The sequence below is a fragment of the Homo sapiens genome, chromosome 22 (assembly GCF_000001405.40).
Source record: "Homo sapiens chromosome 22, GRCh38.p14 Primary Assembly".
NCBI lineage: Eukaryota > Metazoa > Chordata > Mammalia > Primates > Hominidae > Homo > Homo sapiens.
This window is the reverse complement of record NC_000022.11, coordinates 33284162-33306577: the sequence shown is the minus strand read 5'-3', so window position 1 is coordinate 33306577 and position 22416 is coordinate 33284162. Positions and strand designations below refer to the sequence as shown.

Below are 22416 nucleotides of genomic sequence, written 5' to 3'. Positions count from 1 at the left end.
CCTAAACTCTTGGCTGAGCTTAGGAGAGGGACTGTGGCAGGTCACGGGGCAGGGGAGGGGTTCCTTTCTTGGAAAACTGAGACACAGAGGCAAAAACCAAGCCAGTGAGAGAATCCTGAGAAGTGGTCCTCTCTTCATGCCCAGCCAAACCTCCCTCCTTCCGCCCACTTCCTTCAGCAGGTCTCATGTCTACATGCTAGAAATTATTCTTGCGTTTTGCTCTCCAATTCTCAGAGGAGTTGTACAAATGGCCCTCTCATGAAGCGCAGAGTCCCCCACATTTGCAGAAGGTAAAACAGGTGCAGGAGGCATAATTCAAAATTCCAGATCAGAGCCCAGGAGAGGGCAGGCCCCCACAGCAGAAGTCTAGTACAAAGTTCAGTGCAATTAGGCGTCATGGAGAATGCATGCCTTTTTAAGAAATGGCTCTGGTCGGCCAGGCGCGGTGGCTCACGCCTGTAAGCCCAGCACTTTGGGAGGCCGAGGTGGGCGGATCACGAGGTCAGGAGATCGAGACCATGCTGGCTAAGATGGTGAAACCCCGTCTGTACTAAAAAATACAAAGAAGAAAATTAGCCGGGCGTGGTAGCGGGCGGCTGTAATCCCAGCTACTCGGGAGGCTGAGGCAGGAGAATGGCGTGAACCCGGGAGGCGGAGCTTGCAGTGAGCTGAGATCACGCCACTGCACCATCCTGGGCAACAGAGCAAGACTCCGCCTCAAAAAAAAAAAAAAGAAAAAGAAAAAGAAATGTTTCTGGTCAATTTGGTTAGCAAGCATTATAATGGATGAGAAATGGAGAGCATTTTGCACTGGTGAATATCTTAATCCTCCCTATTGAACGAGGAAGCAAATCTGGGCAGTGCCACTTAACAGAATTACTGAGAGAAAACTCTGGAAGTCATCAAAAAGGCCATTGAAACAAGATAGGTGTGCCCATTTCCTTTTGTTTAGAAGCATGGAAATGCATGGAATCGATTTCCTGGTAATCGTCCGAATAAAGTGGGCATTCTGACCAGGAGACTGCTGATTACGTACCTCTTGCTGGGTAAGGAAAAACAATTCAAGTAGGCTTTTGCTGTTTCTTAGCCATAGATTTTATGTACCAGACGCTTCTAACGCCTTTGAAAGAAAATATCTTTATAGATTTATCTTCAGACGTCTTTGCAGAACCCTCTCTGTTGCAAACCCTCCACACACACCTTTTTTTTTTTTTTTTTTAATTTTTTCCCTGGGCTCTATTTTTCCCCCTCTCCCTGGCTCAGCATCTCTGAGGTAGCCTTGCACAGTTGCCTGGCGCCCTGGGGTAGTAGGGGCTCTGAAGACGAGTGATGCAGACAGCATCACCCCAGGTAGACTTTTGTTTCCAACATTCACATATTTTTCTATTCCCTTTTTTAGTGTTATTTTTTTCTCCCTGACTCCAAGGTCCCATCAGGGTACCTGTCTACACATGTCTGGCCTCTAAGTGTAAGAGGCCAAGCTGATTGAACATACGGCACGTCCGTTCCTCCATCAGGAAAATGGGGAGAATGACAGCTAGTGCTCAAGGTTATTGAGAGAATTCTGGGAAGCTCCTGGCACACTGCAGCACATCTGTAATTATAGTTGTTGTAGCTCTTGTGTTTACTGTTTATTTTACCGTTCCTTGTAACTTAGCAGCCTCTAAGTTTGTGTAAGTCCTCTCTGGCTGGTCACTGCCTTAGGAGATCAGCAGAGCTTTTTTATACCTTTGTGGAGAGAGAAGTGTAGGACTTTGGGGCTGGAAGGGGATCTTCAAATCATTTAATATACTCACCACCTGGCTTTGAAACGAGGAGTCCAAGGCTTATAGTGGGATACAACTTCATATCACATGTTCAGTTGGAAGCAGGGAAAGATGAGAACCAGCAAGGTAAGTGTTTTGATGCCTGTTTTATAGGTAAAGGAACTGAGTGAGTCAACGTTGAAAGCAGGGATTTGATCCACAGCTGGTTGATCAAGTGTCACTGGAGGCAGAGCCCCACAACAGGCCCGGCGGATGATGCATGGATGGCCCAGGTCCCGCGGCTCACCCTCCCTGTCTCTTCCAGGCTCCAGATGCTGGAGGCCATCTGCAAGCACTGGGAGGGGCCCATCAGCCTGGCCCTCTACCTGTCAGACGCCGAGGCCCAGCAGTTCCTCCGCTACGCACAGGGCTCTGAGGTGCTTATGAGCCGCCACAACGTGGGCTACCACATCGTGTACAAGGAGGGCCAGTTCTACCCCGTGAACCTGCTGCGCAACGTGGCCATGAAGCACATCAGCACTCCCTACATGTTCCTGTCTGACATTGACTTCCTGCCCATGTATGGGCTCTATGAGTACCTCAGGTAAGGACCTGCAGGGGCCTGGCCATCAGGCCAGAAGGCACATAGGGCCATGCAGTGCCAGGACCAAAAGGCCCTTAGGGTCATCATCTAGTCCAACAGGTTTCTTTTCCAGATGGGGCAGCAGAGACCCAGAAAGGGGAAGGGACCTGCCCACAGCCACCCAGCAATAGAGTTCTCAGTGAACAGACTGAAACCTGAGTTTGCAGAAGGAAATGTTGATGGCAGAGCTTGGTCCAGCGAACATCTCTTTTTGTCTGCCAGTCTATTGCTTTTTCTGTAGCATCTATGAAAACATACCCTCCTCAGGCAGGCACGCGATGGCTCTCGCCTGTAATCCTAGCACTTTGGGAGGCTGAGGCAGGTGGATCACGAGGTCAGGAGTTCGAGACCATCCTGGCCAACATGGTGAAACCCCCCCCCTACTAAAAATACCAAAAAAATTAGCTGGGCTTGGTGGCATGTGCCCGTAATCCCAGCTACTTGGGAAGCTGAGGCAGGAGAATCTCTTGAACCAGGGAGTCGGAGGTTGCAGTGAGCCGAGATTGCTCCACTGCACTCCAGCCTGGTGACAGAGCAAGACTCCTTCTCAAAAAATAATAATAATAAATAGAAGAAAACATACCCTCCTTCTTCTGGTTTTGGACCAGACAACCTTCATATAACCCAAGAAAGATTATTGCCCAGTCTTTTAAACAAATCTAAGTGATGATGATGCCTAGTGCTTATGGAAGTGTTTGCTGCGCGCCAGGCACTGTTCTGAGTGCTTGAGAGGTAGGATCTCATTTCCTCCCCCAAAGTCCCTGCCGTGGGTAGTATTATCACCTTCCTTTTCTAAATGGGGAACTGTGGGACCGAGACCAGGAGCCGTTGGCCCGGGGTTACTCATCTAGGAAAGGGAAACTGGGGTGGAAACAGCCAGTCTGGCTGCAGAGCCAAGTGCATAAGCACCATGACAACTGCTTCTGTGAATCTCCAGTGTCCCTTTCCAGCTCCCCCCACATCATGGGACGGGGTGTCAGCAGCTGGAGAAAGCACTCGGCTAATGGAAGGCTTAGATGGCTGTGTGAAGAGTGCATTTATTACAGAATAGTACACAATTCGGATTGATAGGAGCCATGGAAGTCATATGGCCCAAAGGTCCCATTTCACACATGAGAAAACTAAAGTCACACAGTATCATGGTCCAATGACATTTTAAAAAAATCCTTTATTTACTGCCATTGGTCAGCATGAATTATGCCAATACCTAGTGAGTGCCTGCCTAGATCCAGGTACCATGAGAGGTGATTTGCATATATCATCCCATTGGTTCTACACATCGAACCCCAGAGGCAGGTATAGCTACCTGCATTCTACAGGAAGGAAGAGTGGGGCCCAGAGAAGCAAAATAACAGTCCAAGTCCAGAGAGCTCACGCCAGGGTGTGAACCAGCGTCTGCAGCCCCAGGTCTGCCCGTCACCCTGCTACACGTTGTTGGGCTGCGCTGGGGTTTCTGTTTGTCGCAAACCAGGCAAGGTCTGATTTCTTTCTCTCTCGTTCTCTTGCTCTCCCTCCCTCCTTCTGACTCCGTCTCTCTGTCTCTTAGTATCTTTCTCTTACTGCCTCTGTCTCTTTCTCTCTGAAAAGAGCTTCTAGGAGTCTTTAAACTTTCTGTCGGGAAGCCAAAGCGTAGGTTTAGCCTGCATACCCTCCGTGCCCTGCGCTGTCTGGAGCAAGGTCAGGCAGCCTGTGTTCTCTCTCCAGCTTCTGAGTCCGTGTCCTTCCAGGGACATCTCCGGGTTTCCTAGTGTTAATCCCTCCCCTGGGGCGGGAGGAGTCCCTACCAGACTCTGTTAAAAACAGTAGGGTCAGCGACCCCTAGGCAGCATGACCCTGAATCGGGAATGGGAGGTGCTGTGGTACCCAGCACCATGAGCCTCAACCCCTGACCCACCAGGCTGCAGAAATGGAGCACTCCCTCCAGCCCCAGCGCCTGTGCCAGTGCCTGCTGGGTCTTAGAATCCAGTGTGTGGAGCCAGGGTGCCCCCATGTGGCCAGACGGGGCTTGCAGCCTCTGATGCCTGCAGATTCTGAAACTTGGGCAGCTTCCGGGATGACAGGCTCCCAAGGGAACAGATAGATGATGGGAGTGAGTGCCACCCTAGACTAAGAAAAGAGGCTTCAGGATTGGACCCCTGCCCACCCTCCACCCCTCTGGGACTCTTCTTCGCTCCAGCCAATTGAAAGTGAGCTGGCCCCGTATGAGTCTGTGGTCTCTACTCCCTGTGCAAGGACTATTTAATTATTTGACCTCATGGGCATCATGTTTTAAAAAGCAATACGTATGAACAGTTTTTTTTTCTTTGTCTTTCTATGTTTTATTAATTAAAGGCATCGTTCACTGCTAATCCAGACCCTACTTGAAGTGAGGTAGCTAGTGTGCCCTTCTACTTAGCACTTGCTTAATGCAGAGTCACTTGAGGTGGTAGTTGGCCTTAGCTACCTTATCACAGGAAGGTATGTGGTTCCCCTCAGGGGTTTTGAAATATTGCAAATTGCTTTTAAAACTTTATTACTTTCTTCCCAGACTTTTCCCAAGAATGCTGAGTACAATTCAATAGAGAGACCAGAGCCCTGGTCTCAGGGAGCCAGTCGTCTCTCCACACAATCGTGCCATTATTGCTTTATGGACGCAGGGAAGGTTACTAGGTATTCATATTTTTCAAGAGGAGTTGGGAATCTGGATTTTCATATAAAATGTTTTTTTAATGTTGGCAACTAATTTTTAAAAATTGTTTTTAGATGATGATTTGGAGCAAAAAAATCATTTCAAATGCTGTTGAGGCCGACAAAATATGCCTTCAGGCTGCCTTGACTCCTCACACCCCCACCCCAAACTACCAGAGTGTAACCTCTGACCTAGACAATTCCTAGGCACCAAAGTATTTATGAGAATCAATGAGGAATGTCATTCTCTCGGAAGCCCCAAATAAGCAGACACTGTTCTTTTCATATGACATAATCATATCAACTTACCCTTGGCTTCAGGGACATTTTTTCTGGTGAGTAGATGGATTCATTTCTGACCCAGACGTTACCAGTGGATGCCCCTTGTGCACACCATAGCATCACTGGTGGGAGTTGAGGTTAAGGGTGCTGTTTGCTGTGGCAGCTGAGGACTCCAATGAAGCCCCCAGACCCTTCTAGAAACTGACTTTCTCAGCACTGATCTCCCATAAAATTCTGTACCCAAGCTCTGTCAAGATATTAATATTGGCCAGGTGCAGTGGCTAACACCTGTCACCCAGCATTTTAGGAGGCTGAGGTGGGAGAATTGCTTGAACCCAGGAATTCGAGACCAGCCTGAGCAATATAGTGAGACCCCATCTCTACAAAAAATTTCAAAAATTGGCCAGGCGCGGTGGCTCACGCGTGTAATCCCAGCACTTTGGGAGGCCGAGGCCGGTGAATCACGAGGTCAGAAGATCGAGACCATCCTGGCCAACATGGTGAAACCCCATCTCTACTGAAATACCATAAATTAGCTGGGCATGGTGGTGCATGCCTGTAGTCCCAGCTACTAGGGAGGCTGAGGCAGGGGAATCGCTTGAACCCCGGAAGGCAGAGGTTGCAGTGAGCTGACATCGCACCACTGCACTCCAGCCTGGCAACAGAGTGAGACTCCATCTCCAAAAAAAAGAAAAAAAATTGCTGAGCATTGTGGAACATGCCTGTTGTTTCAGCGACTTGGGAGGTTGAGACAGGATGATCTCCTGAGCCCAGGCAGCTGAAGCTAGAGTGAGCCATGATTGTGCCACTGCACTCCATCCTGAACAGCAGGGCAACACCCTATCTCAAAAAAACACATTTGTTAATTACTTAAGAATGATGACAGTTACAAGTTACTGAGCCCTTACCATGTGCCAGAAACCCTGCCAGCTGCACTCAGTCTGTCATTACCTCTGTTCTTCACACTGCTCTTTAAGGTAACTACCATTACAGGTGACCAAACTGAGGCCCCAGAGAAGTTAAATGTTAGCATTAGAGGAGGAGGAAAGCAGCCTTCCTCCATGCCAGCCTGCTCACTCTGTCGAAGGGGCCAGGTTACTCCCAAACCCCCAGGGTACCAGAGCAGGCCGACTGGCAGCCCTCGGCTTGTACCCCCAAACACTGATTTATATCACCTTTTTTGGGGTTCTATTTGGTTACCAAAAAAAGTTCAGCATGTTAGCTCTTTGAGCAGTTGCTTAGCAACCAGCTAATATTACAGCCAAAACAAACAGATCAATTGGAAAATAATGGAATAAGCTGTACGCATGGACAATAGCTGCAGAGTTTTACTAAAATCTCCTTCCAGCCCCTTCATCTACTTTTTCTGAAGAATGAGCTCCTGGATGTACAGCTTTCACTTTTGATCTCAGAAATGTCAGGCGAAAGTCAGCGGGGCATGGCAGAGGTTGCGCAGACTTGCCTTTGAAGCCAGGTTCCACAACACTAATCAAGTGTGTGAGTTGGGGCTGCTTGCTTCATCTCCTCATTCTTTCACTTCCTCAGTTAATATAGGAGCTAATGATAGCCTCCTGTGGGGCTATGGCGGGTGCCCAGCAGGAGTTCATTTTCTGCCCCTTGGCCTATTCAGTATTGGACTTCTGTGCTAGGCCCCTGCCCCAACCCAACCCCCGCCATTGCAAACTCTGCCACCTTCTGTGCAGCCTGGGTAGCTTCATGTGACCATCTCAATTTTTTTGCTTTCTGAAAATGAGAAACTATATATTGATACTACTCATTCTTTCAAAAACTGTGTAGTGAGCATGTACTATGTGTCAGGCAGTATGCTACATTGTAGGTGATGTTGCTGTCCCTGGGGGTCATTCAGACCTGCGTTTCAGTGCAGAGGACTCTCCCTCCCCTTTCCCTTCCCTCTTTTCCCCTCCCCTCCACTCCTTTCCTTCCCTTCCTTTCTTTCTCTCTCTCTTTCTTTCTTTTTCTCTCTTTTCTCATTTTCTCTCTTTAATTCATTTCTTTCCATACTGCTTCCTCTCTCTCTCTCACTCTGTTGCTCAGGCTGGAGTGGAATGGTGCAATCATGGCTCACCGCAACCTCAACCTCCCCAGGCTCAAGCGATGCTCCCACTTTAGTCTCCCCAGTAGCTGGGATTATAGGCATGCGCCACCATGCTGGGCCAATTTTTTTTTTACCATTTGTAAAGACAGGGTTTCGCTATGTTGCCCAGGCTGGTCTTGAACTCCTAGTCTCAAGTGATCCGCCCACCCAGGCCTCCCAAAGTGCTGGGATTACAGGCAAGAGCCACTGCTTCCCGCGTCTCTCTCTCTCTCTTTCCTTTTTTCTTTCTTTCCATCTTTCCTTTTTCTTTTCTTTTTTCTTTTCTTTCTTCTTTCTTTCCTTTACTTCTCTTTAGACACAGGGTCTTGCTCTGTCACCCAGGCTGGAGTGCAGTGGTGCAATCATAGCTTACTGCAGCCTCAAACTCCTGGGCTCAAGCAATCTTCCTGCCTCAGCCTCCCAAGTAGCTGGGACTACAGTTGTACACCACCTTGCCCAGCTAATTTTTTAATTTCCTTTTAGAAAAATAAACATAACCCAGACCCTATTGTCCAGGCTAGTCTCAAACTCCTGGGCTCAAGCAGTGCTCCTGCCTCAGCCTCCCACAACCCTAGGATTACAGGCGTGAGCCACCATGGCTGACTGATGCTGAGTACTCTTTATTTAGAATTTATTTGACCTTGGGAAAGGCACTTAACTTCTCTAACTTGTTTTATCTGTGAAGTGGGAATCATACTGCTTTTTCCTCTTCCCCAGTTCTTAAGGAACTGAGAAGATAAGAGCTAACAGTATTTGCAGAGCACCCAGGAATGCCCGAAACATTCTTTGTTCCATGCCTCTGCGTGGCCAGGCACTGTTTCAGGTGCTGGGGCTAGAACAGTGAACAGGGGAGACAAAGTTCTGGCCCTCAGGTTTACAGCCTGGTGGTCATTGCAGCTGTATGTGCCATTGCTAGCATCGGGATTCACACAGATACGAGGCTGAGAGATACAGGAGCTCAAACTAATAAGGGAATGACCCAATGTGGGTGCACACTGAAGGTCTCTAAATGAGGAGAGAGGAAGACGTGAGACATCGTGGCATTTCCAAGACCTGGACAGCTTCACTCTGCTGAGACTTTCCACATTCATGAGACTGGTACAGGTTTCTGACACCTTTCACTGACCCTGCAGAATCATCATCTTTTTTTTTTTTTTTTTTTTTTTGAGATGATGTCTCGCCCTTGTCCCCAGGCTGGAGTGCAATGGCGTGATCTCAGCTCACTGCAACCTCTGCCTCCCGGGTTCAAGCGATTCTCCTGCCTCAGCCTCCTGAGTAGCTAGGATTACAGGCGCCTGCCACCACGCCTCGCTAATTTTTGTATTTTTAGTAGAGACAGGGTTTCACCATGTTGGCCAGGCTGGTCTTGAACTCCTGACCTCAGGTGATCCGCCCACCTCGGCCTCCCAAAGTGCTGGGATTATAGGCGTGAGGAATCCTCATCTTTAATCCATGCCCAAAGTGTAAAGTATCTCTACTGTCCTCACTGCCTTTTGCCTTCTTGGGGACAAACCCTTCTTTTTTTTTTTTTTTTTTGAGACGGAGTCTTATGCCGCCCAGGCTGGAGTGCAGTGGCACGATCTTGGCTCACTGCAACCTCTGCCCCTCAGGTTCAAGCAATTGTCCTGCCTCAGCCTCCCAAGTAGCTGGGATTATAGGCACATGCCACCACACCTGGCTAATTTTTTTTGTATTTTTCAGTAGAGACGGAGTTTTGCCGTGTTGGCCAGGCTGGTCTCAGACTCCTGACCTCAGGTGATCTGCCCATCTCTGCCTCTCAAAGTGCTGGGATTACAGGTGTGAACCACTGCGCCCAGCCCCCTTCTTGAGGACAAATAGGCCACACTGGGTAGAGACTGTATTCTGACACTGTGTAGGAATGCCAGATTTCTGTTCGACTCTTTTCTCCCCAGCTTGACATCTAACCACCTACCCCCTTACATTTTCCCTGGCACATCATGGCTGTTCTATAAATACTTGTTGAATGAGTGCAGACATGTGAACAAAGCCAGGTAGAGGTGGCACCAGGTGAAGCTGACTGGCTGCCTGCCCAGAGACATTACCAGGTAACATTTCCTTGGGCCCATTCATTGTCTTAACTCTGCTGTATCTATAACATTCAACATTTACTGAGCACTTACTATGCGCCAAGCACTGTTATGAGCCCTTTCACCTGTATTTTACCATTAAGGCTCACCACAATTCATCTTACAAATGAGGACGTTCAGGCTAAGTAACATGCCCAAGGGCACAGCAGTACTAAAAGGATAACTGGCGGGCTGGGCGCAGTGGCTTATACCTGTAGTCCCAGCACTTTGGGAGGCCGAGGTGGGCAGATCACCTGAGGTTGGGAGTTCAAGACCAGCCTGACCAACATGGAGAAACCCCGTCTCAACTAAAAATACAAAAATTAGTTGGACGTGGTGGTGCATGCCTGTAATCCCAGCTACTCAGGAGGCTGAGGCAGGAAAATCGCTTGAACCTCGGAGGCAGACATTGCGGTGAGATGAGATCGCGCCATTGCACTCCAGCCTGGGCAACAAGAGAGAAACTCCATCTCAAAAAAAAAAAAAAAAGAAAAGAAAAAAGAAAAAGGATAACTGGCTCATCTTAGGCTTATCCATAGGTGTTCTATGCTTAGCCTGTTTATTGATCCAGTTGCCCGATAGGCCCATTTTATCTTCATCGTGATGGCCATGACCATCATCATGGCTTGTATTTGCCAAATGTATCCTATACACCAGGGAACTATTTTAATCTTTGCACCAGATAATCCATGTAGTTCTTACAAAGTCACACAGCACAGCTGCTAATACAGTCCCCAGCTCACAGAGAAGAAAACTGTGGCACAAAGTTGTAACGTGTTCAAGAGTATGAGCTGGTGAGTGTCCATGCAAGTGGGATCTGAATCCAGGCAGTCTGCCGCACAGCTGCCCTCCTTAGTGCCAGGCCCCCGTGATCCCCAGCCAGCGTTTAACTCTATGCCAGTACGTGGCAAGTGCTCTACAACGTTTAGCTATTATTACTAACAGTAAACATCAGGACAGTGGGGTAATTAAACAGGAATGTTGAGCATTACCTGAGATGGTGGAGACAGAGTCTCTAGCACAGAGCCTCGCACATGGTCAAGTGCTCAGTAAACTATGGCAATCATTACTACTTTTTATTTGTAAAATTTACCCCAAAAGCTCCTTCTTAGCTTCTCTTTCTCACCTGCCCCTCTCTGACTGACAGGTTCTTCCTCTGGAAATGTTAATGCCACCCATTAAGGAATCACCGGATCTTGCTCATGCCTGTGAGCCCATCTGGCTCTCAGATGACATGCCCATGTCTGACCTCATGTATTATGTGTGTATTCTACAGTGGCACTCTGTGGGCTGCCCTGTCTCCCTCATTTGCAAGTCCTTGCTGTTGTCCCCACAAAGCTCCTGGAAGCCAGTCAGCCAAGAGCTCATTTCCTAGACAACTGGAGTAGAATCGAGCAAACCCTATTCCCTGGCCTTTATGTTTAGGGATGAGACAAGAGGAGGACAGGGCTGTGCTGAGGTGGCCTCCAGAGTGAGCAGCACAGGTGGCTCCTTCCTTCCTCTCTGCCCACGTATTGTCACCCTAAGGTAGATTGCTAAATCCTCAGGTGTCATTCACATGATTTCCCATTGCCTTGGTCAAAAGCCATGCTTACGTCTAGCACTATTGAAGCTAGTCAGTTTAAACAGCTATGAGGGACAGCTGGAGACAAGAGGGCTTCTCGTAGTCTCCCAAAGTCACATAGGCACCCACACGCATGTACACACACATGTGTGCCCTTCTTTGCCTCTCACTGGTTGATCACACCTGTGTCTGCACTGGCCCTGCTGCTTCTCATCACACATCACTAGCTCACTGGTTCATGCCCACACACCTTGCCAGGAATAAGCTAAAATAAGAAAATGATGGTGCATCTCAGACCCAGGCCTCTGCTTTCTCTTTAACCCCCACTGGCTGATCCACTTCTTACGAGCATCCACGAGAATATGAGTGCATGACCGTCTGTAAAGGACCCAGGAAGGAAAAAACACTGTTTATAAGTGCCCTGTCTCGTGGCAGGTGCTGTGCTAGGCCCTGGGCAAATGTTATCTTTTTTAGGACAACCTAGTCAAAGATAAGTGCTTTTATTCCCATTATACAAGTGAGATTAAAACACAGAAGTTAAGTTTGCCCAAAGGTCATATGTATTTAAGTGGCAGAGCTATCGTGTCAACTCAGGTCTTTGTCATTTCCAAAGAGGCCTCTTCACAGTCCCATCCTCTCTACCGCATAGGGCAGTTACAAATAGATTCCTCCATTCCCTATACACTTACTGAGTGCCTACCGTTTGCCTGGCACTGTGCAGGACCTGGAAACGTAACCATGAACAGAGGCTCACCCCAGACCTCAAGCCCAGCAGGGCTGAGAGGTACATGCACAGGCAGCCACCACCAGTGAGCGAAACAGTCTAGGATGAACCAGTCCCAAAGAAGATGCAGACCCAACATGAAGGGGAGCATGAAAGGAGACACATCAAGGCCCATGGAGGTGGGGAAGGGAGGTACGGGGAGGCCGGTTTTTCTAACTGGCTATGCACTAAATCTTGAGAGAAATCAGTGCTGTTCCAGGGTTTCTGAAACAGATGCACACTCCAGCACAGGTTTCTTTATCTCCTCCTGTCCCCTTTTAATATAACTTTCATAGGAGTCCCTGGGAACTTGTATGAGAACCACATGGATTTCTTACGACTCAGGTTTGATTAAACAGTGGGCTCTCTGACATTTGATGCTGCAGAACAGGGCTGTGGAAACCCAGGGCTCCGAGAGCTGACAAGTCTGGTTCTCTCCCAGCATTCTGACAGCAGCCCCAGTGCCTTCAGCCCTGCGATTCCCAATAGTTTGTCACTTGTCAGCATTGGCCTCAGCCATTTATTGCAACACCGCAAAGAAGTCAGCACGGGCATTTCTGTTACAGGCGTGGAAACCTGAGTGGCAGAGATGGGGAATTCCCCAACCCCTGCCCGAGGAGTAGGGGCCACAAGAGGTCCCAAATGGTTACCAGCATCCAGTGGGCTGAAAGTCAGTCATCCTGGTGAGAAAAGAGAGAGTAGAAAGATGCCTTCAGAATTATGGGATGGGCTTCTTGAAATAAGGCTAGTAGGAGTGGTCATTAGTGCTAAATGCAGAGATAATTCAAACAAGGTGAGAATGGATAAATCTGTTAGACTTGACAGTGAGGGGACATTGCTGACTTTGGCCAGATCCACAGAGTCAAAGACAGATTATAATAGTTTGAGAGACTCATGGGTGGTAATGAAAGGAAATAGCCAGTATAGGAGGCTCAGTATAAGCCAGTGACATGTAGGATCAGTACACATGTTCCCAATCTCATAATACTCTTTGTTTTCTGACCTCCGCTCCACTTTGCTCATTCAAGGTGGAATCTGCCATGTGGATGAGATTGCATTTAAGGAGCATAGGTACACAGATCGTAGCCTCCTGCCTTCTCCCTTTTTGCCATTCCTAACCACTCTCCCACTACTGCCTTGACCCATGAACTCAAAGAAGTTCATTTTTCCAGTTGCAAGGTTGGGAAGACAGACACAATCACTGCATTAACAGACTTGGTCCCAATACATCTTGTGGTTATTGATCTTTCCTGCTTAATTTTAAGCTGGTGCAGACTTCATTAATATCATTATATGATGATGATGATAACTACTAGCTGTGTGGTAGTTACTTGTTAACCTCTCAGAACTTTAATATCTTTATCATTAAACTGAAAATATGAGTATGTAAGTCATAGGTTGCAATAATTAAGAGAAGTAATGCATATAAAGCACTTAGCATGGGGCTTGAAACTCAATGCATGTAAGCATTTATTATAATTTATCAACCACCTACAGTATACCAGGCAGGTGCTGAGAAATTCAGTTTCTCCAATCCTATATGCTTTCTCGTTATCAGAGCTTTGCAAATAACCTGGAACACCCTTTCCTGACTGGCTAACTCCTGCTTCTTGATTGGAACACATCTCAGTGATGAGAAGTCTTCCATGACTCTGCACACAGAGAGGAGTATGCTTCTGTCTTCCTCCCTCCCTACACTGTGAGCTATGCATGGACAAAGTTATATGTGTTCATTTAGCTCTGTGCCCAAGGTTTAGGTGTTGGCTTCATTAATATTCATTAATTGATGAATATATTATCTTAGTTCTCTTAATCACCAAGTCCATAAAGCATTTATTATTATCAAGATAAGGAAACAAAAGCCCGGGGTGTTAAGAAAATGGCCCATGATTGCACAGTTAGGGAAGTAGTGGAATTAAGATGGAATCTACATCATCCGATTAAAAAGATCATGCTCTTTTTTTCTCACTGTTCAGCCTCCCTTCAAACTGGCATGCCACGAGAGGTACCCAGCCATCAGGTGTGCTGAAGATAATTTCAGTTGGCTCCTCTTGAAATATCAGACTCTGTGGCTCCAATCCCATATGTCAGGCACACAGCTGGAATTGAGGAGCAGCTAGGCGTGGACTCTCCTGTTTATCCCATCCCCTGCTCTCCCCTCTCCCTTTTGTCTCCTCGACATGTAAGCCTGGCATCCTTTGCCATTGAACATCGTGCTCTCTCCCCATCAGCCTGCACCATTATCCACATCACTGGCCTGGCCCTGCAGCTGCTTGAGGTTGCCCCCCAAACCCCCCAGTATAGAAAGACACAAAAAAGAGATACTTCCAGAATCCTTTGTCCCTGTTTAAATTTGACTGTGCTCTCTCCTTTTCTTAACCTCAGTGATGGATTATTTTTCTAATTTTGTTTTCTTGAAGATGGCATCAAATTGGGTTTGTAATATGTCCTAGTTCGTTTTGTGGTGCTATAACAGAATACTGGAGACTGGGTAATTTTTTAGAAATGTATTCCCCATGGTTCTAGAGGCTTGGAAGTCAGAACAAACTTGGTGGCAGATTCGTTGTCTGGGAGGGCTGCTCTCTGCTGCCAAGATGGTTCTTTGTGGGTTTTGTTTGTTTGTGTTTGTTTTTGTTTTGAGACAGAGTCTCACTCTGTCACCCAGACTGGAGTACAGTGGCACGATCTCGGCTCATTGCAACCTCCGCCTCCCTGGTTCAAGCGATTCTCCTGCATCAGCCTCCTGCGTAGCTGAGATTATAGGTGTGTGCCACCATGCCTGGCTAATTTTTTGTATTTTTAATAGAGACGGGGTTTCACTATGTTGGCCAAGCTGGTGTCTAACCCCTGACCTTAGGTTATCCCCCAACCTCGGCCTCCCAAAGTGCTGGGATTATAGGTGTGAGCCACCACGCCCGGCCCCAAGATGGTTCTTTGAACACTGCATCCTGCAGAGGGGAGGAACGCCATGTTCTCACGTGGAAGAAGGTGGAAAGGCAAAAAAAATGGGACCAAACTCTCTCTTGTCAAGCTTTTTTTTTTTTAATCATTATGTATTAAATGTATTGATGTAATACATTATGTATGTATTGATGTAATACATTATGTATTAAATGTATTAATGTAATGAATACATTATGCATTAATGTATTCATGAGGGTGGGGCCCTCATGACCTAAACACCTCCCATAAGGCCCCACCTCTGCTGCTGCATTGGGAATTAAGCTTCCAACACATGAATGTTGGGGGACACCATAGCACAATACCTAAGCACGCACCAGTGAGAGAGGAGGAAGTTATTTCAGGGAATGCTGAATAGAGGAGAATGCATAAGGGTAGACAGACAGGATTTAGGGAGTTCTTCCTTTGGTGGAAACTGGCAAGTAACTGGAATCCCATTTTCAGGCAAATCGTGACCATTGTGGGACTCCAGGATGGGTCTGATTGGACCACAAGGGTCTCTTCTCCCGGGTCTTCACTCACTGTGAAGGAGTTAGGTGTTGGTCGTAGAGTTTTCCTTATATCCTCTCCTGTGGACCAACATAGGTTAATTTTTCTAGACACTTAAGATGAAACTAAATTGGCCAGCGTTGTGACATGGATCCTTTTCCTGATTAGCAATCCAGCCTTGCACTGTGTTGACTTATTTTTGCAGAACCAGAGGTGAGGAAGGGAACTTCTTTTTTTTTTTTTGAGATGGAGTCTCGCTCTGTTGCCCAGGCTGGAGTGCAGTGGTGCAATCTCAGCTCACTGCACCCTCTGCCTCCCAGGTTCAAACGATTCTCCTGCCTCAGCCTCCTCAGTAGCTGGGATTATAGACACGCACCACCACACCCAGCTAATTTTTGTATTTTTAGTAGAGACAGGGTTTCACCATGTTGGTCAGGCTGGTCTCGAACTCCTGACCTCAGGTGATCCACCCGCCTCAGCCTCCCAAAGTGCTGGGATTACAGGCGTGAGCCACCGCGCCTAGCTGGGAAGGGAACTTCTAAATGGCCATGGCCCTCACACCCACCTACTTGACTGGTGCCCTAGATGCTAGCAGTCAGGGAAGATGCCACCAGCGACCTCCATGTTGCCAAACCCAGCTGCCAGCCCCCAGCTCTCATCTCATTTGACTTCTCAGCCACCTCCAACTGCCGGTGACTCCTCCATGGCACACGTTTTATTTTCTCCTGGCTTTTAGGTGCTCATCGCAGTCTCTTTGTGGTTCTTCAATCTTCTTGGTCCCTCCCAGGAGTTCCCATTGCTGGCTCCTCTTCTCGTTCTACCTGACTCCCATTTTATAGATATTCCATGTTACAGATACGGAAATTGCAGAACCAAGAGATTAATTAAGTAGTTAGCCAGGATGCAGACCCGAGCAGCCTGCCTCTAGAATGTGAACCACTGTGACTCCGAGGAGGTGAAGTTGTCAGAACTAGGCAGTGCACGGCGTTTCCTTATGTCTTCCGAGACACTTTCCCGTAATCTCTTCATGCCAGGAACCTGGGCTGTTTCCCTGGTTACAGGGACCTGCCTCTAGAGGAAAGGATGGAGTTAAAAAGAGAGAATGAGATGGAGGGAGGGAGGTGTGTATGTATGTGAAAGAGATCAACAGCCAGGGTCAGGTTGAGGATTGGTAATTCCATGCCACCGTAGCACCAGGGAAACCCATCCAGCTAATACTCTGCCCTTCCATCCATGCTGTTTCTTTGGTTTATGCAGAACCCGGGCAAGCCTACCATCTGCACCCACCCCTACCCCTTCATTTGGCATAGGAAGCCTCACTGCTCACTCACACTCACATCCCCTCCCCTGCTCGCCAGTTTTGCCAGATTGGAGCAAAAGAGGATACGAACTACCCATATACCTGAGTGAGCTGAGAGGAGGGGCTCGGGGAAAAAAGATATACAGAAGAGGAGGCTGTGGGGGGCTTTGGAGGATAACCTTTATCAAATTCACAGTTTCCCCACTGGTTAGCTCTGCCACGCTGGAAAAGGTGAATTTACTCTGTGAGCAACACCTGAATTGTTTTTGTTACAAAGAGGGACTCAGAGGGCTGGCTAGAGACCGAGATCTCATAAGTTCTGTTTCTGTAGATGAGCAAGCAGAAGTCTTCCCTGGTTGTAAGTAGTATGTTGACTTCTCTGAATCCTCCTTCACTCTCGCCCATTCTCTTGCCTTGGATGCACCAGTAGGCTCAGCTGTGACAGGGGAAGGGGACTTGTTTGTTAATGAGTTAATTCTAAGTCAGGCACTGCTTTGGGCTCTAGAGCCCTGAGAGATGAGAGATAAGCCTTTATTATCTCCATTTAAGATGGGGAACCTGTGGTTGGGAGAGGTTGCAGAATGGGCCTGAAGTCAGGAGAGAGAGGAGCAGTCAGGTTTGGAAGCTGCTGCTGTCTGGCTCCAAGTCACTTATGTTCACAGGGCTTCCCATTGTATCAGCAAGGTTCTGAGTTATTTATATTGTTTTAAGAACTCCTTGGTCCAGCTGGGCGCGGTGGCTCATGCCTGTAATTCCAGCACTTTGGGAGGCTGAGGCAGGCAGATCACGAGGTCAGGAGATCGAGACCATCCTGGCTAACACGGTGAAAACCTGTCTCTAGTAAAAATACAAAAAATTAGCTGGGTGTGGTGGCGGGCACCTGTAGTCCCAGCTACTTGGGAGGCTGAGGCAGGAGAATGGCGTGAACCCGGGAGGCGGAGCTTGCAGTGAGCCGAGATCGCACCACCGCACTCCAGCCTGGGCAACAGAGCGAGACTCTGTCTAAAATAATAATAATAATAATAATAATAATTCCTTGATCCAATATACTATAGTAGGTTTGTGAATGTTCTTGCAAGTGTCTTGGACAAGACAAGGGCAACAAAACTTTGAACCTGTGCATAGGCAGGGACTGGAGCTGGTCTGCAAAGAGGAGTCAGACCATAAGGAAGAGACTGTGTCAGCTCAGGCCCATGTAGGGGACAAGAACAGAGTGGCAGTCCAAGAAGGACATCAATAGAGCTTGGTATCATTGAATGATGAGGAGGAATCTGGACCAGGTCGGAATTAGGACACTTTTTATTTTAGGTAAGGTACCTGGTATTAATTTCTGTTGCTTGCAGCTAAACAACCCTAAGCAATATATTACAAGACCCACAGTAGACAGACTCAGTAAGCAGCATGTCTTACCAGCACAGTCCTCAGGGGTCTCCAGAGACACAGAGCCAATAGGAGATGTATATAGTATATCCTATAGATAGTAATATATGTATCAATATGCAGAGCTAGATAGTGATATGTGTACTGATAGATTGACAGAGCTTAAGGGATTGGCTCACACTGTTGTGGGGTTGGCAAGTCTGAAATTGACAGAGCAGGCCAGCAGGCTGGAAACTGAGGCAGGATTTCTGTGTTACTGTCCTAAGGCAGTATTCCGTCTTCTCTGGGAAACTCAGTTTTTGTTCTTAAGGCCTTCAACTGATTAGATGAGGCCCACCCACATTATCAAGGGAAATCTCCTTTCCTTAAAGGTAACTGATTGTACATGTTAGCTATTAGGTTGGTGCAAAAGTAATTGCAGTTTAACACGTCTATGAAACACTTGCACAGCAGTGTCTGGACTAGTATGTGACCCAGTAACTGGGCGCCATAGCCTGGGCCATCTGATACAGAAAGGGAACCATCATAGGCATCATGTACCCCGTGCTTAATGTGTGCCAGGCCTTGTAGCAAGCCCTTCCACAAGCACTGTGCTTATCCTCATCAACATATTTTTCAAGTGCATCAACCCCAGGACTCAAAATAGTGAAAGTGACTTGCCCAAGAAGACAGCCTAGTAGAGTCAGAGCTAGACGCCTTGTCTAATGACCACTACACCTGACTGTCCTCCAAAGCTTCCATCTTAATAATCTACATTTAGCAATCTAAAGAGTAATAGAGTAACCCAAAGTCACTCAGCTTCTCAGGGTGGGCCTAGAACTGAAGTCTCCTGGCTGTTCGCCCAGCTTTCTCACTCATCGTCCTGCCCCACTGTTCCTGGAAGACTCTGCATTCTATCCTCTGCAGGACTCACTTTCCAGAGAACTAATGGCTGCAAATTGTTGACCCCTAAGACAGCAAGCCCCATCCAGGGTAAGATGTACTAACAGAACACAGAACAGAAAGACCCAGGCTGCTGTTACCTTCTCAATAAACAGATGAGCTCAGAGTTTGTACCATGAAGCCTTGTTTATTGCTGAAACAACTTCATAATGAGACCCTTTCAGGACATCGGTATTGAAACCTACTTGAACTGACTCTGAAATAGATCTATCTGGTGACAGATCCATCTTTGTGGCAGTTTGTATTTTAGTGAGATGAAAGGGAGTTTGCAGAAAGCACTCTGGAATCTGGTGCTATCTATGCAGAGGGAAATAAGGCTTGCTAGGACTGTAATTGTGAGGCATGCTGCTTGCTGAGTCTGTCTGCTTTGGGTCTTCCAGTATATTGGTTAGGGTTGTTTAGTTGCAGGCAACAGAAACTAATACCAGGTAGCTTAAGTAAAATACAAACAAATCAAAGAAAAACAAAGCAAATAATGGATGGGTTATCTTATAGAATCAAACTAGGACTTGGAAAACCAACACATAAGACAGCAATTAACCAGGGCAGCTCTGGGCCCCTCTGCAGCAGTTCAGAAGTCTTTAGAGCATGGTCTGTCATCACTGAAAGTCAATTCTGTGCTTTCCCAGTCTCTATTTCTATTCAAATTTCCAAGAGTAAGAAACTGATGTGCTCAGCCTGGGTCAAGTGTCTAATCCTAAACAACCTGCCCTTGCCAGGGGTGCAGGTAGGGCAGGCAGAGAGCTCTGAGAGCTTGCTTCTATGTATAGGGGCAGGTTGCCCCCATAGAAAGGGGAATTATTTTCTAGCAGGAATTAATCTCTAAGAAGCAGCTCCTATAGCAACTGATGATAATAGTAACTTGATCCTTATATAGATACAAACATCCATGTTTGTAGATCTCTGTATCCATCGTGTATATATGTGTATGTGTCTTTATATCTTGCCCATTCCCTTTATAGTTCTGCCCTCGCAGCCTTCTATTCTGTTTCTATAGCATTGTATTCTAAAATAATCAGCTACAAATGCAATCTGGGGCCCCAGTTTAGAGAGATTTGTCCTTAGGCTTCTAGCATCTCGAGACGTTTATATGAATGTAAGCACCATGCGGGCAGAGACTTTGCTTGTTCTTTTCACCCTGTATCTTCAAGTGCCTGGCACATCATAGGTGCTGGGTGATTGCTGAATGGGTAGCAACCACCCACCAATACTGGGACACCTTCCCCCCTGCCCCAGGGATTCCAAGGGCTTTGCTGTCTTGGTCCAAGTATATTCTTTAGATCCATATATCCCACCCCCAATACCCAGAATCAATAGATAAGGTACCCACCTCTCCAGGGGGAAAGGTAAATAGCCTAGCTCTGCCCCTATCCAATAGAGGATTGATACAAAAGAGAGTGCTAGCTGACACTAGATGCCTGGCCACAGAGGAGGGAATCTTGGATGTTTGAAAACTAACATTGTTCAGACAGACAAAGCGGGAGAAGAATCCAGGCTGGGACAGGCTGACTCAAACCTCTGGTCCTCAGACTGGCTAAGTAGAGCTCGTCCACACTCTGTATCTTGCTGTCGTCCTTTACGAACCTCCTCTGGAATAGTGGTGAGAGAGCTATATATTATTTGGTATATAGTTAACATGAGCACTATGGTAAAGAGTGAACTGCAAATGATATTCAGAGGGTTCCAAAATGAACTTCCAGCCCATCCCAACCACCCCCTCTCTACTGGGAGCTGGTGAGATCCATTAACCACGGATGGTTTTAGGAAACTGTCCTTATTCTGACCTGATCCAGGTTCCCCCTCATTATTCAATGATACGAAGCCCTGCTGATGTCCTGTGTCCTTCTGGGACTGCCACCCTGTTTTGTCCCATTCAGGCCTGGGCTAACTTAGTCACTTCCTTATGGTATGATTCCTCTTTGCACGCCAGCTCTAGTCCCTGCTAATGCACAGGCTCAACGTCTGGTTGAGTGAAGTGACTTTAATAATACAGCAATGGAGGACAAGGTTTTTTTGTTTGTTTGTTTGTTTGTTTTGTGACAGGGTCTCGCTCTGTCGCCCAGGGTGGAACACAGTGGCGTGATCTCAGCTCACTGCAACCTCCACCTCCCAGGTTCAAGCGATTCTCCTGCCTCAGCCTCCTGAATAGCTGGGACTACCAGCACCCCCCACCACGCCCGGCTAATTTTTGTATTTTTAGTAGAGACAGGGTTTCACCATATTGGCCAGGCTGGTCTCAAACTCCTGACCTTGTGATCCGCCTGCCTAAGCCTCCCGAAGGGCTGGGATTACAGGCGTGAGCCACCATGCCTGGCCTTCAATGGACAGTTGTATGGCCAAGGAGGGCTGCTGCTTTCAGTGGTTTTTCAAAATGCCTTACAATGCCTACCTTTTCCCCAGGAAAGGCTGCTTTCTGTATCTCAGAGATGGAAACAGACAGCCATGATGACCCTGAGACCCAAAGGTCAGTGTCCAAGCAGGAGCCAGAATGAATTCCTAGGTCCTGGCCAAGAGTGATCACAGAATATCCAAGCCAGGGAGTCGTGATAGCACTGCAGTGTAATAGTGACCACTTGTCCCAGCATGCCTGCCCCGGCCAGGTGTGCCAAGTGGCAGTATATGACGACCTTGTTCGGTCCACAGGAGGTAGATGTTATTGCCATCATTTTAGGGACGAGGGACCAAAGGTAGTGAGGAGCTAAATCGCTTTCCCAGGATGGCAGGTCTCATAAAGTGACCTTGCCAGGGTTCAAATCCAGTCTGTGTTTATTAAAAGCCTCATGCTGGCCGGGCGCAGTGGTGCACACCTGTAATCCCAGCACTTTGGGAGGCCAAGGCGGGCGGATCACAAGGTCAAGAGATCAAGACCATCCTGCCAACACGGTGAAACCCAGTCTCTACTAAAAATACAAAAATTAGATGGACGTGGCAGCATGTGCCTGTAGTCCCAGCTACTCGGGAGACTGAGACAGGAGAATCGCTTGAACCCGGGAGGCTGAGGTTGCCGTGAGCCAAGATTGCACCACTGCACTCCAGCCTGGGCAACAGAGCAAGACTCCATCTCCAAAAAAAAAAAGCCTCATGCCATATGGCACTAAATGCTTGGCCGTGGATGGCTCTCCATGAGCCTTTCTCCCTTTCCAAGTAACCACCACAGAGCTGAGAAAAGGCAGACAAACCCAGGCGTGCAGGATCGGGTCTCGGAGGAGCAGAGTGGAAGGCCAGGCACTAAGGCAAGACTTTAACTTTCTCTTAGGGAGATACCAGAGCTCTGTCTCACCAGCACTGGCTGCCTAGGGTGGCTGTGGCTGCTTTAAAGGCTTGGAGTCTGGAGAATTCAAGGAGTTGAGGAGTCACTGAAATGGAACCTGAAAGTGCCCAGTTTGGTGATTCTCTCATCGGCTCTCTGTCCACCTGCTCTGGTGCGGCCAGGGGTGCAGTCGGAGTGATTGACCAGCCCAGGGAACCAAGCAGGCTGGGCTGTAACCCCTGTGATCC

The 22416-nt window shown here is 47.7% G+C and overlaps 1 protein-coding gene across 24 annotated transcripts in view, besides 2 other annotated features; it reads left to right on the top strand.

Annotated features, from left to right (window-relative positions):
* Positions 1-22416, top strand: part of LARGE1 (LARGE xylosyl- and glucuronyltransferase 1) — an 856162-nt gene that overhangs the window by 616247 nt on the left and 217499 nt on the right. For all 24 annotated transcript variants that reach the window (XR_007067993.1, XR_002958722.2, XR_007067994.1 and 21 more), the window contains one exon: positions 2071-2349. Coding sequence is in view for 21 of the 24 variants with exons in the window: in XM_024452302.2 (XP_024308070.1) it covers positions 2071-2349 (279 nt within the window). In the remaining 3 variants the exon portion in view is untranslated. The remainder of the gene's footprint in view (positions 1-2070; positions 2350-22416) is intronic.
* Positions 6316-6685: an enhancer, noted in NCBI's record as "active region_18879". NCBI's record gives its function as "activates an Ori minimal core promoter by ATAC-STARR-seq in GM12878 lymphoblastoid cells {active_cell/tissue: GM12878}" and the evidence as "EXISTENCE:reporter gene assay evidence [ECO:0000049][PMID:35858748]".
* Positions 6696-6745: an enhancer, noted in NCBI's record as "active region_18878". NCBI's record gives its function as "activates an Ori minimal core promoter by ATAC-STARR-seq in GM12878 lymphoblastoid cells {active_cell/tissue: GM12878}" and the evidence as "EXISTENCE:reporter gene assay evidence [ECO:0000049][PMID:35858748]".